At 45.4% G+C, this 16715-nt stretch overlaps 1 protein-coding gene across 1 annotated transcript in view; it reads left to right on the top strand.

Moving 5' to 3' along the window:
• DHRSX (dehydrogenase/reductase X-linked) overlaps positions 1 to 16715 on the top strand; it is a 281471-nt gene that overhangs the window by 197116 nt on the left and 67640 nt on the right. The window contains exon 4 of the mRNA NM_145177.3: positions 12258 to 12359. Coding sequence (NP_660160.2) covers positions 12258 to 12359 — 102 coding nt within the window. The remainder of the gene's footprint in view (positions 1 to 12257; positions 12360 to 16715) is intronic.

Here is a 16715-nt window from a genome sequence, read left to right as displayed (position 1 = left end):
CCATCCACCCATCCATCCATCCATCCATCCACCCACCCATCCACCCACCCATCCACCCACCCACCCACCCATCCATCCATCCATCCATTTATCCATCCATCTATCCAATCCATCCATCCATCCACCTATCCATCCATCTACCCATCCTTCCACCCATCCATCAATTCATCCGTCCATCCGTCCATGCATGCATCCATCTGTATTAGTCTGTTCTTGCATTGCTATAAAGAAGTACCTGAGATTGGATGATTTATAAAGAAAAGAGGTTTAATTGGCTCATGGTTCTGCAAGCTGTACAGGAAGCAGAGCAGCTTCTGCTTCTGGGGAGGCCTCAGGCAACTTACAATCATGATGGAAGGTGAAGTGGAAGCCAGCACGTCTTAATGGCTAGAGCAGGAGCAAGAGTGGAGGGGAGGTGCTGTGCACTTTTAAACAACCAGATCTTGTGGGAACTCATTCATGGTCACAAGAACATCACCAAGGGGATGGCGCTAACCCATTCGTGAGAAATCCACCTCCATGATCCCATCACCTCTCCCCAGGCCACTCCTCCAACACTGCGGATTACAATTCAACATGAGATTTGGGTGGGGACACAGATCTAAACTATATCACCACCTCGCAAGCCAGTGATCTCAATAGAATGCTGATGTTCATGTTGCTAGTGGCTATAAGCCTTTTTTCTCAAGGAGCAAGAAAAATGCATCTTCTAGTTTTTTTAAAAAAAATCCATTCACACTGCTGTTTTTGGAAGCTCAGCTTGTGCTTTTACCCATCCTTTGATCACTGGTTCCAATTATTAGCAGTAGTATGGGTTTTCCTCTTTCTTACATCCCCACAAGTGTTTTTGTGGAAAATTACAGCAGTACCTCAGGAGTTTCTATCCAGATGACACTGTGCTCAGAATCAGCGCTTTTAAACTCTCCATGGCAAAACTGCCTCTCCCCTAATCTGCAGCAGATTGATAACTGCCGTAGATACAATAAAAATGAATTACTAAAAAAAATGCATTTAAGAAACATGGAAACTAGAAGCTCTCAGTGTGTTTTTTTTAAGTCATTGGATTGAACAAAGCTTAAATGACTGTCATTATTTTTTAAGTTTCTAAACATTTACTTTCAATTTCTGAACATGTCTCACCACAGACAGCTTGCAGTAACAGTTCACAGAGTGGCAGCCGTCTGATTCAGGAGTGTGTGTACCATCATACCATCCAATATATTACTTTATTTATTTATTTATTTATTTTTTGAGACAGTCTGGCTCTGTCACCCAGGCTGGAGTGCAGTGGTGCGATCTCAGCTCACTGCAACCTCCACCTCCCGGGTTTAAGCAATTCTCCTGCCTCAGCCATCCAAGTAGCTGGGATTTCAGGTGCCTGACCCCATGCCCGGCTAGTTTTTGTATTTTTAGTAGAGATGCAGTTTCACCGTGTTGGCCAGGCTGGTCTTGAGCTCCTGACCTCAAGCGATCCGCCCGCTTTGGCCTCCCAAAGTGCTGGGATAACAGGTGTGAGCCACTGCACCTGCCCACCCAACTGTATTTCTCTAAGGAAAATATTGAAAGTACTTATTTCCTTTTCCTTGATGGCCTGGTGACTTGGTACAGATGGGCTTCATTCTCCATGATGAGGAAGCTGTTATATTATCTTAAAACATGCCTTCCAAGAGAAGGTTAAAGTATATATTTCAGATCACAAGGTCAGGAGCACTTTTGGCTGCCACGTTTGGCTGACTCTTGGATGTTGTGTTATTTAAAGTGTCCTAGATCAGCCACAATAAAACAAAACCTAATCACTGTGTCTCAACCTCAGGTGTGTGCTGCAGGAAGCGCCAGTTCTTGTGATATCGGAGCCATGTCCACCTCTGTTCTGGGGACCCGGGACCCCACGGGTTGGTCTGAGTATGTCATCAAGAGCTAGATGAGGCCGGGTGAGGTGCTTCACACCTGTAATCCCAGCACTTTGGGAGGCCGAGGCGGGCAGATCACAAGGTCCGGAGTTCAAGAACAGCCTGGGCAACATGGTGAAACCCTGTCTCTACTAAAACACAAAAATTAGCCAGGCGTGGTGGCGGGTGCCTGTAGTCCCAGCTACTCAGGAGGCTGAGGCAGGAGAATTGGTTGAATCCAGGAGGTGGAGGTTGCAGTGAGCCGAGATCGCACCACCGCACTTCAGCCTGAGCTACAGGGTGAAACTCCATCTCAAACAACAACAACAAAGAACTAGGTGAAAAGACCTGGCGTGCTCCTGCAGCGCAACCAGCCGTGATCATACAAAGACCAGAATGCTGCAGGATGGCATGTCATGGCCCATCCCTCTCATCTCTGCTCCACGCAGCAATAAGACCAAAGCTAACCTGCTTCCAGAGACACCTCGTGGAAATGTGCAAGGCTCAGCAAAGAAAGGCTAATATCTAATGATTCATGTATTTACACAGCTTTTTTTTTGAGATGGAGTCTGGCACTGTCACCAGGCTGGAGTGCAGTGGCATGGTCTCGGCTCACTGCAACCTCCGCCTCCCAGGTTCAAGCGATTCCCCTGCCTCAGTCTCCCAAGTAGCTGGGATTACAGGCAATGCACCACCATGCCCAGCTAAGTTTTATATTTTTAGTAGAGACAGGGTTTTGCCATGTTGGCCAGGCTGGTCTCGAATTCCTGAACTCAGGTGATCGCCCGCCTCAGCCTCCCAAAGTCCTGGGATTACAGGCGTAAGCCACTGCGCCCGGCCTGCTTTTTTATTTCTTACTAGCACGAGAACTTAGAGTGATACAAATCTTCTGAATATTTTGGCTGCATTCTGCAGACGGTGACACCTTCTGTTTCCGTGGATATTATTTATAAAACATTTTTGTCACCTGCTATGAATTGTTACCCTGTCCACATGCTTTAAAAGGGCAGTTTTTGAAATCAACATGAGTTTGGGCACTGGGAAATTGCATACTTAATAAAATTAAACATTAAAAAGGGGCTCTTTCTGCTTTCCTATCAACTCAGGCAGCAGGGTGATAGATATAGGGGGTGAGGGATGCACCCTGTGTTGGCCAGGGTTCTCTAGAGGGATATAACTAACAGGATAAATAGCTATATATAAAGGGGGGTTTATTCAGTATTAACTCACAGGATCACAAGGTCCTACAATAAGCTGTCTGCGAGCTGAGGAGCAAGGAAGCCAGCCCGAGTGCTAAAGCTGAAGAACTTGGAGTCCAATTTTTGAGGGCAGGAAGCATCCAGCACGGGAGAAAGCTGTAGCATGGGAGGCTAGGCCAGTCTAACCTTTTCACATTCTTTTGCCTGCTTTTTGAATGTGCTGTGCTGGCAGCTGATTAGATGGTGCCCACCCCGATTAAGGGTGGGTCTGCCTTTCCCACCCCACTAACTCAAATGTTAAACTTGTTTGGCCACACCCTCACAGACACACCCAGGATCAATACTTTGCATCCTTCAATCCAATCAGGTTGACACTCGGCATTAACCATCACACCTGGTGTGTGTTTCTCTGATTATAAGGACACCAGTCCTACTGGACGAGGGCCTCACCCTTTTGAGCTCCTACAGGCCCTGTCTGCAAATAAAGTCACATTGGAGTTTAAGGGTTCTGATGATGAGTGAGGGAGGGCACGGCTCAGTCTATAACGATGTCCTATATCTATTGCAAAGAAAAAATGAAGGCACTATTCAATTCCTCCAAATTAGGAGGTTTGCCAGAGCCTCAGACAAAAGGATTTTTTAGGGAGGTACAGTTCATTCCATAATGATGTTCTCTATCGCAAAGAAGAAGGGGTAATTCAGTTCCTCCAAACCAGGCGATTTGCCAGAACTCCAAACAAAAGGAATTTTTTTTTCTTCTTGATCCCTATTTATCAACACATGCCTCTGTGTCTTTCCAGTTGACTTCATCTCTTGGGCAGCATTAATTTCAGAAATCTGTATTTCTGACTTGCCCTCAGGAAACCCCTTTAGATGTTAGAAATTCTTCTGTGGATGAAGTTATCTTTTTTTTTTTTTGAGACATAGTCTTGCTCTGTCGCCCAGGCTGGAGTGCAGTGGTGTGATCTCGGCTTACTGCAACCTCCACCTCCCAGGTTCAAACGATTGTCCTGCCTCAGCCTCCCGAGTATCTGGGATTACAGGCGTGCACCACCACACCTGGCTAATTTTTGTATTTTTAGTAGAGACCGGATTTCACCATGTTGGCCAGGCTGGTCTCGAACTCCTGACCTCAGGTGATCCACCCATCTCAGCCTCCCAAAGTGCTGGGGTTATAGGCATGAGCCACCACACCCGGCCAGATGAGGTTATCTTCTTGAGTCTCAGGGTTTACTGTCTGTCACTGAGTTGCAAATAAAAGAAAAGTTGGATGAGTTATTGGCAGCCTCAAGAGCAACAGTGAGAATTGTAGACTCACTTTCTGCATTGGAGGGTGTGGTGTGTGGGCTACGGGAAGCGTGGACATCATTCACCATGCTAGGTGCCGAGAGGGGCATCAGACACAGCAGGTGCGTGAATCTCCTGTCTTCATATGATACTGTCTCACTGTCAGAATCACAGTGACAGAAGGCATTTGTTACTGTGGATTCACACTCCGTTAGGGTTAAGATTTTTATTCTGTGTGAGTTCCTTAGGGTTACTGTGAAAAGCACATCTTATCTTCTCTCGATAATTTTTAAGTGACATTTAAAAATATTCAAGCATGTGACTTGACCGAATTGCTTAGCATTTGAGTTGTTGCATTAAATGGAGCATCTCGTCACTTTCAAGTATTTGATACTGGCAGTTGCTAAGAGTTAAAAGGCAGCTGGATTTGTCGCAGACAATGAGTTAAGGAATCCTTCCACATTTTTCCCATTTTTTTTTTTTTTTTTTTTTTTTTTTTTGAGACAGAGTTTCACTCTTGTTGCCCAGGCTGGAGTGCAATGGCACGAGCTCGGCTCACCGCAACCTCTGCCTCCCAGGTTCAAGTGATTCTCCTGCCTTAGCCTCCCTGGTAGCTGGGATTACAGGCATGTGCCACCACACCCGGCTAATTTTGTATTTTTAGTAGAGACGGGGTTTCTCCATGTTGGCCAGGCTGGTCTTGAACTCCCGACCTCAGGTGATCCGCCCGCCTCGGCCTCCCAAAGTGCTGGGAATACAGGCGTGAGCTGCCGCGCCCGGCCCGTTTTTCCCAACTTTAAAAGTAAGGGTTCTCAGGACCCTGTGTAGAGCAGTGAAAATAAGACCTCGTGTGTGTGTGTGTGTGTGTGTGTGTGTGTGTGTGTACACACGCGCCTGCAGGAGAACTGCTGTTCCACTTAGGTGAGAGGATGGGCTGTGTGCTTCAGACCAGGAAATGTGTCATCTTGCCAAGCAACCTGGCTGAGTGTGCTGGAGTCAGGATCTTGAACAGAAACTTCCTTTTCTGGTGTTGTTCACTACAGAGCTAAAATGGCCAAATATATACTGTGAAAATTGTTTTTTTTTTTTTTAACAAAAGACCAGATCCCTCCTTCAGCTGTATACATTTTTGAATAAAATCATATTGAACTAACAAAAAAAAAAAAAACACCAAAACTGGGGAACTTGCACAATAGAAATATATCCTCTCCCAGGTCTGGAGGACAAGACTTTAAATCCAAGGTGTCTCAGGGCTGAGCTCCATCCAGACGCTCTAGGGGAGGATCCTTTTGGCCTCCCCCAGCTCCTGGGGGCTCCAGGCATCCCACGGCTTGTGGCTGTATCACTCCAGTCTCTGCCTCTGTCTTCACATCATCATTTTCTCTCATCTGTCTCAAGCATGCCTGTTCCTCCTCCTTATAAAAACCCCAGGCTAGGCGTGGTAGCTCATGCCTGTCATCCCAGCACTTTGGGAGGCCGAGGCGGGCAGATCACCTGAGGTCAGGAGTTTGAGACCAGCCCGGCCAACATGGTGAAACCCCATCTTTACTAAAAATACAAAAATAAGCCGGGCGTGGTGGCGGGTGCCTGTAATCCCAGCTACTTGGGAGACTGAGGAAGGGAGGATCACTTGAACTCGGGAAGTGGAGGTTGCAGTCAGCCAAGATCTGTCCGCTGTATTCCAGCCTGGGTGACAGAGCAAGACTTTGTCAAAAAAAAAAAACTCAAAAAGACAAAACAAAAAAAACTCCGCACTCCTGTCATCCTAGCATTTTGGGCAGCAGTATGATAACAAGGCCAGGAGTTTGAGACCTACCTTGGCAACATAGAGAGACCCCTGTCTCTATAAAAGCTAACAAACAAAAAACAAAAATCTTTGTCATTATATTTAGGCTAATACAGGATAATTTCCTCATTTGAAAACCTTTAATGTCTAAACACCCTATTTTCATACAAGGTAATCTTTTCACAGGTTCTAGAGATTAGGACCAGGAGATTTTTAGGGACGGAGTGGAGGATACCGTCATTTAGCCTACCACATTCTTACTACCTTAGGAAAGGATGGCCAGGCAAGGTGGCTCACGACGGTAATCCCAGCACTTTGAGAGGCCAAGGCGGGCGGATCGCTTGAGCCCAGGAGTTCGAGTCCAGCTTGGGCAATATTGCAAAATCCGATCTCTACAACAACTACAAAAAGTAGCCAGGCGTGGTGCTGCGCACCTGTGGTCCCAGCTACTCAGGAGGCTAAGGAGGGAGAATCGCTTGAATTCGGGAGGTGGAGGCTGCAGTGAGCCCAGATCACACCTTTGCACTCCAGCCTGGGTGACAGAACGAGACCCTGTCTCAATAAATGCATAAATAATTTTAAAAAGGAAAGTAATTCAGCACAAACATTTGCATATTCCCAAGATGATGCTCACAGCTTGCAGTGCCTGCCTGGGTCCTATTCCTATCTGCCTGGGTCTATCTGCCTGGGTCCTATTCCTATCTGCCTGGGTCCTATTCCTGTCTGCCTGGGGTCTATCTGCCTGGGTCCTATTCCTATCTGCCTGGGTCCTATTCCTATCTGCCTGGGGTCTATCTGCCTGGGTCCTATTCCTATCTGCCTGGGTCCTATTCCTGTCTGCCTGGGGTCTATCTGCCTGGGTCCTATTCCTATCTGCCTGGGTCCTATTCCTATCTGCCTGGGTCCTATTCCTATCTGCCTGGGGTCTATCTGCCTGGGTCCTATTCCTATCTGCCTGGGTCCTATTCCTGTCTGCCTGGGGTCTATCTGCCTGGGTCCTATTCCTATCTGCCTGGGTCCTATTCCTATCTGCCTGGGGTCTATCTGCCTGGGTCCTATTCCTATCTGCCTGGGTCCTATTCCTATCTGCCTGGGGTCTATCTGCCTGGGTCCTATTCCTATCTGCCTGGGTCCTATTCCTATCTGCCTGGGGTCTATCTGCCTGGGTCCTATTCCTGTCTGCCTGGGTCTATCTGCCTGGGTCCTATTCCTATCTGCCTGGGTCCTATTCCTGTCTGCCTCGGGTCTATGCATTTCCTTTTTGTCTGAGGACACATTTTTGCTTCATGCTGATATTTTTCACTTCACCTTTCTCCCCTTTTCTTCTTTTCTCTTTTTCCCTCTCCTTCCCTCCCCTCCCTCTGGGGCAGAAGCTGGCATGCGGCAGAGCGCCAGCAGAGGACGTGGCCCAAGCTCCCATACATCTTCCCTTTACCTCTTCCGCTGACTTTTTTCTGGGTGTGCCCAGAGAGCCTAGCTCTGGACACTCAAAGATGCATCATTTCAATGTATGTTCCAAAGTTACGTAGCATCCAAGGCATATGAGACATGCTTAAAAACATACTGGTCATGCAAGTGAGGAGGTGCAATGATGGGTACTGTCGTTGCGATTGCGGAAGCCAGATCTAGAGATGCCCGGCGTGGCTTGGGGTTCAGGAAAACTTCCTGAAGGAGGTGACACATTTGCGTTTACGATCCCCAAGTGAGGCACACAAGCATCTCTCGGCGAGAACCCCACAGTCCATCCCAGAAAAGGAAAGTCAAGAGAATGGGCTACGTATGGGAGGAAGGGAACTATTTATGGTCTTCGATGAGAAAATAAATGTGCGTATGCGCCCCAGCTTTGTGCTTCGGTATTGCCACATGCCGGAACCGCGTGAAAATACAAGCCGTCAATACAAGCAAGTGCTAGCCCTCTTTTATTATTCTACTGCAGAAGAAGGAAGTCCTTGCTTCTGAGTCATTTTGTGTATTAGTTACACATGCCGTGTAACAAAATAACACAGACTCAGCAGCGTGTCCTAACAGCCTGGTAATATTTTATCCAGAATGACGTGTTTTAGAAAGTTATGTCCTGTCAAAGTAATCCAGATACCATTTCCTTTTCTTCTTGTTTTTTTGGTATTATTATACTTTAAGTTCTGGATACATGTACAGAACGTGCAAGTTTGTTACATAGGTATACACGTGCCATGGTGGTTTGCTGCACCCATCGACCCGTCATCTACATTAGGTATTTGTCCTAAAGCTATCCCTTCCCTAACCCTCCACCCCCCAGCAAGCCCTGGTGTGTGATGTTCCCCTCCCTGTGTCCATGTGTTCTCATTGTTCAACTTCCACTGATGAGTGAGAACATGCAGTGTTTGGTTTTCTGTTCCTGTGATAGTTTGCTGAGAATGATGGTTTCCAGCTTCATCCATGTCCCTGCAAAGGACATGAACTCATCCTTTTTTTATGGCTGCATAGTATTCCATGGTGTCTATGTGCCACATTTTCTTTATCCAGTCTATCATTGATGGGCATTTGGGTTGGTTTCAAGTTTTTGCTATTGTTAATAGTTCCGCAATAAACGTATGTGTGCATGTGTCTTTATAGTAGAATGATTTATAAACCTTTGGTATATACCCAGTAACGGGATTGATGGGTCAAATGGTATTTCTGGTTCTAGATCCTTGAGGAATCGCCACACTGTCTTCCACAATGGTTGAACTAATTTACACTCCTACCAACGGTGTAAAAATGTTCCTATTTCTCCAAATCCTCTCCATTTCCTTTTCTTCTCCTTATACAGTAAGGAATATGAAACTAACACACACTTTCTCTCATTTCATTCTCTTTCTTTTTCTGTCTGCTCTCTTTGTCTTTCTCCCTCTCTCTCTCCCTCTCTTTTTCCTCTCTCTCTCTCCCTCTCTTTTTCCTCTCTCTCTCTCTCTTTCTCTGTCTCTCTCTTTGTCTTCTTTTCTCTATTTCTCTCTGTCTCTCAGTGTTTGTCACGCTCTCTCTCTTTGCCTCTTTCTGTCTCTTTTTTTTTTTTTGAGACAGAGTCTTGCTCTGTCACCCAGGCTGGAGTGCAGTGGCGCGACCTCGGCTTACTGCAACCTCCACCTCCCAGGTTCATGCGATTCTCCTGCCTTAGCCTCCCAAGTAGCTGGGATTACAGGCGTGCACCACCACAGTCGCCTAATTTTTGTATTTTTAGTAGAGATGGAGTTTGACCACAATGGCCAGGCTGGTCTCGAACTCCTGACCTCTGCCCACCTTCCAAAGTGCTGAGATTACAGGTGTGCACCACCACAGCTGGCTAATTTTTGTATTTTTAGTAGAGACGAGGTTTCAACATGTTAGCCAAGCTGGTCTCAAAGTCCTGACCTCACGTGATCTGCCTGCCTTCGCCTCCTAAAGTGCTGGGATTACAGGCATGAGCCATCGTGCCCGGCCTCTTTCTTTGTATCTCTCTGTCTGCCTTTCTCTCTTTGTCCCTTTTACTGTCTCCCGTCCCTCTCTCTCTTTCTGTTTCTCTCTCTCACTGTGTCTCTTTGTCTTTATCTCTGTGTGTTTTTTCTCTCTTCCCCTTTTCCTCCCCCTCCTTTTTTCTCTTTCTCTCTTAGCCTTTCTTTCTTTCTCTCTTTCTCTCTCTCTCTGCTTCTATCTTTCTATCTCTCTCTTTCTCATTCTTACACTCCATCTCTGTCTCTTCTCTCTCTCTGATGGTGAGTGGAGAGTCATTTCGTTTTGGAATGATGATGAGCATTCCAGTAATAGTTTTGGAGAGTAAGGCTCATAGAGCTTATTAAGCAAGGTGTGTCTGTCATAAAATTGATTGCTGGCATTTTACACATCAGTGCAGACATGGGGGGCACAGGCAGACCCCTCCCCCCACCACACACACACACTGCTTATCCTCTGAAAGCTATGTGGCCTTCATAAAAATATTAACAGTTCTTTTACAGTAATGATTTTCCCCTATGAGGCTCCCCAGTGAGGAGGCTGTAAATGACACTGACCACCAGCAGCCCTGCAGATCAAGGCTGTTCTCTTCTCGGCCAGCCCAGAACCAGCCTCTGCTCGCTCCCTCCCTGAGGACTCCTGTCTCTGACCTCTGCACACATGCTGTGATTTGCTCTTCCACCTCACACCATTCCCCATCCTCACCTTTCAGAACTCACTGGCAGTGTCCCCCAATACCTTCCACCTCTCTCCAGAAATTACCTTCCCATCTCAATGTAAGGGAACTTGCTTCTTCCCTCAGAGATCTGCTGTCTCTGCTGCAAGTAATAGCTAGTTTTCATGCATTTTGTTCTGTCTGACTTTAGGTTGTTGCATTGTTCTCCCAACCTCCTTGAACCCATGGACCTGGAGGCAGAATTATATACCTGTGAATTTGCTTTTCTTTCTAGTTCCTCTCCCTCCAAAACCTCAGTCCTTCTGGGAAAAAAAAAAAAAAAACAGCTTTAACACAATCAAACACATCACTTTTAGCGATGGAGACCCACTGGGAATTTAGAGAGAAAGAGTGAAGTTGATATACTGAATACAATAGACATAAGTCTACCTCTCTACCTATGTGATGTTATAAAGCTGTCCCTGAGTCATTCACTCTCTAAAAATGTCATCTTTGGCTGGACACAGCTGCTCACGCCTGTAATCCAACACTTTGGGAGGCTGATGTGGGAGGCTCACTTGAGCTTAGGAGTTCGAGACCAGCCATGGGGACATAGTGAGACCCTGTCTCCAAAAACATAAATGTAATAAAAAATAAAATGCTTTCTTTTATTATTCTTCTGCAGAAGAAGGAAGTCCTTGCTTCTGAGTCATTTTGTGTATTAGTTACATATACTGTGTAACAAAATAACAGACTGAGCAGCGTGGAAGAGCTCATACTTACTATCTGTAGCAAGGGATCCATAAATGGCGTCCTTTTTTATTATTATATAAAATTCTATATTCTCCTGTGGAAGAAGGAAGTCCTTGCTTCTGAGCCATTTTGTGTATTAGTTACATATGCCCTGTAACAAAATAACACAGATTCAGCAACGTGGAAGGGCTCGTACTTCTTACTATCTGTAGCAGGGGATGCATAAATTGCTTCCTGTTTGATTATTATATAAAATTCTATATTCTATATTCCTCTACTGCAGAAGAAGGAAGTCCTTGCTTCTGAGTCATTTTGTGTATCAGTTACATATGCTGTGTAACAAAATAACCCACAGACTCAGCAGCGTGGAAGGGCTCATACTTACTATCCCACAGCTGCTGCGGGTCAGGAATCTGGGCAGGTGTAACTGCATTCTCTCTTCGGGGTCTCACTGGGCTATAACCAAAGTGTCATCTGGCCTGAGGTCCTCTCTGGAGCTCAGGATCTTCGAAATTCACATGGTTATACGCAGAATCCAATTCCTGGAAGCTGCAGATCTGGGGATCTGAGTATCTTGCTGGCTTTTGGCCAGGGGCTGCTGTCAGCTCCTAGAGAGGCCATGCCCAGGTTCTGGCCCCAAGGCGCTCTCACAAAACATCAGCTCACATCAAGGTCAGGAGGAGAATGACAGGTCCCACACAGACTCAAGGAAAGGGGACTATACAAGGATGGGACTCATTGATCTCCCTAGAGTATGAGCTCCTCATTGTACCCTACTGACATGTCCAATTCAGTGTTACTTCCTGGACAGGCGTGGTGGCTCACGCCTGTAATCCCAGCACTTTGGGAGGCTGAGGCGGGCGGATCACCTGAGGTCAAGAGTTTGAGACCAGCCTGGCCAACATGGTGAAACATTGTCTCTACTAAAAAAAAAAAAAAAAAAAAAAATACAAAAATACAAAAATTAGCTGGGCCTGGTGGCATGTGCCTGTAATCCCAGCTACCTGGGAGGCTGAGGCAGGAGAATCACTGGAACCCAGGAAGCAGAGGCTGCAGTGAGCTGAGATCCTGCCACAGCACTCCAGCCCGGTCAACAGAGCGAGACTCCATCTCAAAAAGAGCAGAAAAAAAAAAAGTGTTACTTCCTAGATGAAATTGAGTTTGACCTGTTTAGAAATTTTCTTAATCTCTGAAATAGGTTGGGAGATAACCAGGTATTTTTTGTTGTTGTCCTTTTCCAGTGGAATTTTTATACTGTGACTTGGCTTCCATGACTTCCATCCGGCAGTTTGTGCAGAAGTTCAAGATGAAGAAGATTCCTCTCCATGTCCTGATCAACAATGGTGAGTCCTGGTGAAATTGCAGCAAGCCAGGGGTTAATTTGAATGCAAACAGGAACTCTAGCTTTCATGCGGGAGAAGTGTCTCAGCAAAACAGGATATCCATGGGAATTATTGAACATACCTGCTATTTCTAGTCAGTGCTTCATTTCACGGATAGCTTTGGAAGAGCATCATTCTTGTTAGCATGTTACTTTGAAATAATGGTAAACGCGATAACATGTTGTATGGAGTTGACACGTTGACTTGTCCACTTGGACTAAAGGGTATGAGGCACATGCTAAGGGTTGGTGTTTTCCCAAATGTTATCTTACAAAACCATCACCACATTCCCCTGAGAGTCATTATTTGGGCACTAGAAGCTCATTACCATTTATCTCTTGATTTTACCCCCTGTTCAACATTCTCACCCAGATAGGTGGAGTCAATATCTCCCCTTCCCCACCTTCAATCTGCCCATCTGCCAATCTTCAACACAAACTACCCTTGACCTTGAGCCCTTCTTTGAGCCTCGCTGAGTGCTTAAGGTCATTGCAACGCTTACTGTTGACCTTGAGCCCTTCTTTGGGCCACGCTGAGCGCTTAAGATCATTGCAACACTTAATGTTTCTCCTCGTAACACTGATGCCCATTACTCTCATCCCCTGCTGCAGTCCATTTTATTTTTTATAAAAGTTAACCTGAACCCTCCACACTGAGGAGGTACAGTTATTGACATCTCCAAACTAAGTAAATACATAGAACTAAAGGTCTCAGAAATACACCAACAAACATGTGTGCTAGTAGAATTTAACGCATCACTTTCACAGATGGAGACCAAATGCAAATTCAGAGAGGAAATAAATAGTGACATTAATACAGTGGATAGAACAGACGTACGTCAAACAGTGAGCCCATAAAGACAGCACATTCCTTTCAAATACATGAAATATTTATCAAGTTATTGACACTTCAGATTGCAGACAAAAAAATCAGCAAAAGGATCTTGTGATTACCCAATGTAATTACTCCATTACCCACCTAGACCATTAAAGATTCTTAATTCTGCAAAACCCCTTGTGCTACCTAACGTACCATTTTCATAAATTCTGGAGATTAGGATATGGACATGTCTGTAAGGAGGGAGAAAGCATTATTCTTTGTACTAAAGTTGTAATACCTGTCTGTTTCCAGCTGCCAAGATGTGGTAGCTTCTATCTAATTTTTTTTTCTTTTTGTCTTGATGTGTTTCGTGTTTTTGTATAACATTAATGGGATTGGAGGATAGGAAAGTGGATGAGATACCCACGGTTCCCCCTCAACCCACTTGTTTAATTGGAAATTATTATGCTAGAGTTTAAAGGAGAAGCATGGGATATAAAACTATACATAGAGTGTGATGCCAATTTATGCATAAAAATTTGTACAGACATAGCTATGTGTGAGTGCATATGTATTTGTATATGTATTTGATGTATGATGTATATGTATTTATGCATAAAAATACGTGCAGACATAGCTATGATGTGTGAGTGCCACTCAAATAGCTACAGACAACACCATTTCCATGTACTTAGCCTGGTAAGAAACATCGTATTATCAGTGCTAGTGGCTCCTGTTGGAAGGTCCGGAATGATTTTAACTTTGTGTGTCTTCTTTGGAGATCAATAACACTTTTCAGATTTGCCATCCTGGTGGGATCTGAAGTTTCTACGCAGGCATAAATGATTTCCCAGTCAGCAGCCATTTGGAATCTTCTGTCTCAGCACTGGGTGTGGACTTCCTTTGCTGAAGACCTATCAGTATTAGAAGTGATTAGAATTATAGCATTATAAGTCACCAAATGTGGAGACCACTTAGAGGCACTGTGGAGATCCTACACGACCCGACGTCTCATTTCCTCGTTCTGTGTAACACCCTTACTCATTAGTAATGGGAGCACTTTATCACAGAGCAGTTGGAGATGGAAATACATACATGACATGGTGCCCTTGCACAGAGACACACAAAACAGAACTGTCCATCCTCTTAGGACTTTTGTGCGACTACTTCCATCCATTTGGTATGGGCTTGCATCCACCAGTAAGCAGAAAAAATTAGGAATCTCAGGCCGGGCGCGGTGGCTCACCCCTGTAATCCCAACACTTTGGGAGGCTGAGGTGAGTGGATCACCTGAGGTCAGGGGTTCCAGACCAGCCTGACCAATATGGTGAAACCCTGTCTCTACTAAAAATACAAATATTAGCCAGGCGTGGTGGCGGGCATCTGTAGTCCCAGCTACTCAGGAGGCTGAGGCAGGAGAATCGCTTGAACCTGGGAGGTGGAGGCTGCAGTGAGCCGAGACCACACCATTGCACTCCAGCCTGAGCAACAGAGCAAGACTGTTTCAAAAAAAAAAAAAAATTAGGAATGTCAGATATGATATGTTTCTCCAGCAGAATCTTACTGTGTTCTGGGGGGAGCAGAATTTTACTGAGCAATGTGTATATGAACCACATCTGTGACAGTGGATACAGGCTAACACCAGTTGACACAGGCTAACCAGCGTATACTCCATCACTCAACCACCACGTTTACCTTTTGAAATGGCTATTGCATTCCTAGGATTCTCCTCTGTTCCTTTTCTCAACAGATTTTAAACAAGGCACACAGGGCTCTCAGAAACAAACAAAAATATTCTGGAAACTGGGACAGGGTTGAATTTGAATCAAAAGGGTCTTGTTGTTGGATTGTCTCTGTACCCTATCTCTTCTGTAGAAAATCTCATGCACATATTGGGTTTACTTCTTCCTAGACTTATCTAGACCTTTCTTCCATGCTAAGACCTTTTACCTTCGCTCAATGCCTCAGAGGCACCTCAAGCCAGTAAGTCCAGTGTGAAATTCCTGAGTCTATGGCTGACACTGGTTCTAGAGGAGAGTATTTCCTTCCCCAGTTTTTAGAAGACTGTCAGCGTTTCTTCACCCATGGCCTCCAACCCGGCCTTAAAGCCAGCAATGATAGTGGCTCACGCCTGTAACCTCAGCACTTTGGGAGGCCGAGGCAGGTGGATTACGTGAGGTCAGGAGTTCGAGACCAACGTGGACAACATTGTGAAACCCTGTCTCTACTAAAAATACAAAATTAGCTGGGCATGGTGGCGCATGCCTGTAATCCCAGCTACTCGGGAGGCTGAGGCAGGAGAATTGCTTGAACCCGGGAGGCAGAGGTTGCAGTAAGCTGAGATCACACCACTGCACTCCAGTCTGGGCAACAAGAGCAAAACTCCATCTCAAAACAACAAAAACAACAACAAAGCCAGCAATGAGACACCTTTGAATCTCTCTTTCTTGTTCTCTCTCTCTCCCTCTCTTCCCTTCTCTCTCTTTCTCTCTCTCATCTTGCCTTCTCTTTTTTTTTATCTCCTTCACTTACTTTTGTTCTTCTGCCTGCCTTGTAGAAGAACCATTGTGATTATTTGGGGCCCACCAGGATCATCTCAGATAATCACCTCATCTCAAGATCTTCCACTAATTCACATCTACAAAGGCCCTTTTGCCGTGAAAGTCACATTTTCATGTGTTCCAGAGATGAGGACATGGACATTTTTTCATCTTTTGAGTTATTACTCTTCCAAATTGGGAATAGGTTGTGGGCATCTCTGGGGTCATTATTGTGTCGACCACATGAGAATTAGTCTGTGGACATCTTTAGAGCCATTATTCAGTCTTCCACATGAGGATTAGGATGTGGACATCTTTGGGGCCATTATTCTGTTTCCCACATGAGGATTAGAATGTGAACATCTTTGGGGCTATTATTCTATCTACCACATGGGAATTAACATATGGACATCTTTGGGGCCATTGTTCGGCTTCCACATGGGGATTAGGATGTGGACATCTTTGGGGCCATTATTCTGTCTTCCACATGGGGATTTGGATATGGACATCTTCGGGGCCATTATTCTGTCTCCCACATGGGGATTCGGATATGGACATCTTCGGGGCCATTATTCTGTGTACCACATGGGGATTGGGATGTGGACATCTTTGGGGCCATTATTCTGTCTACCACATGGGGATTAGGATGTGGACATCTTCAGGGCCATTATTTTGTCTTCCACATGAGGATTGGGATGTGGACATCTTTGGGTCATTATTCTGTCTTCCACATGAGGATTAGGATGTGGACATTTTTGGGGCCATTATTCTGTCTTCCACCTGAGGATTAGGATGTGGACATCTTTGGGGCCATTATTGTGTCTCCCACATGGGGATTACAGTGTGGGCATTTTTGGGGTCATGATTCTGTCTCCCACATGAATAATGTGGACCTGGACATCTTGAGTTGTGCATTATTTAACCTGCCATACCTACCTACTCTGCCCTTCACATACTT

This window comes from Homo sapiens, chromosome Y (assembly GCF_000001405.40).
Source record: "Homo sapiens chromosome Y, GRCh38.p14 Primary Assembly".
Classification (NCBI taxonomy): domain Eukaryota; kingdom Metazoa; phylum Chordata; class Mammalia; order Primates; family Hominidae; genus Homo; species Homo sapiens.
This window is presented reverse-complemented; position numbering and strand designations above follow the sequence as displayed.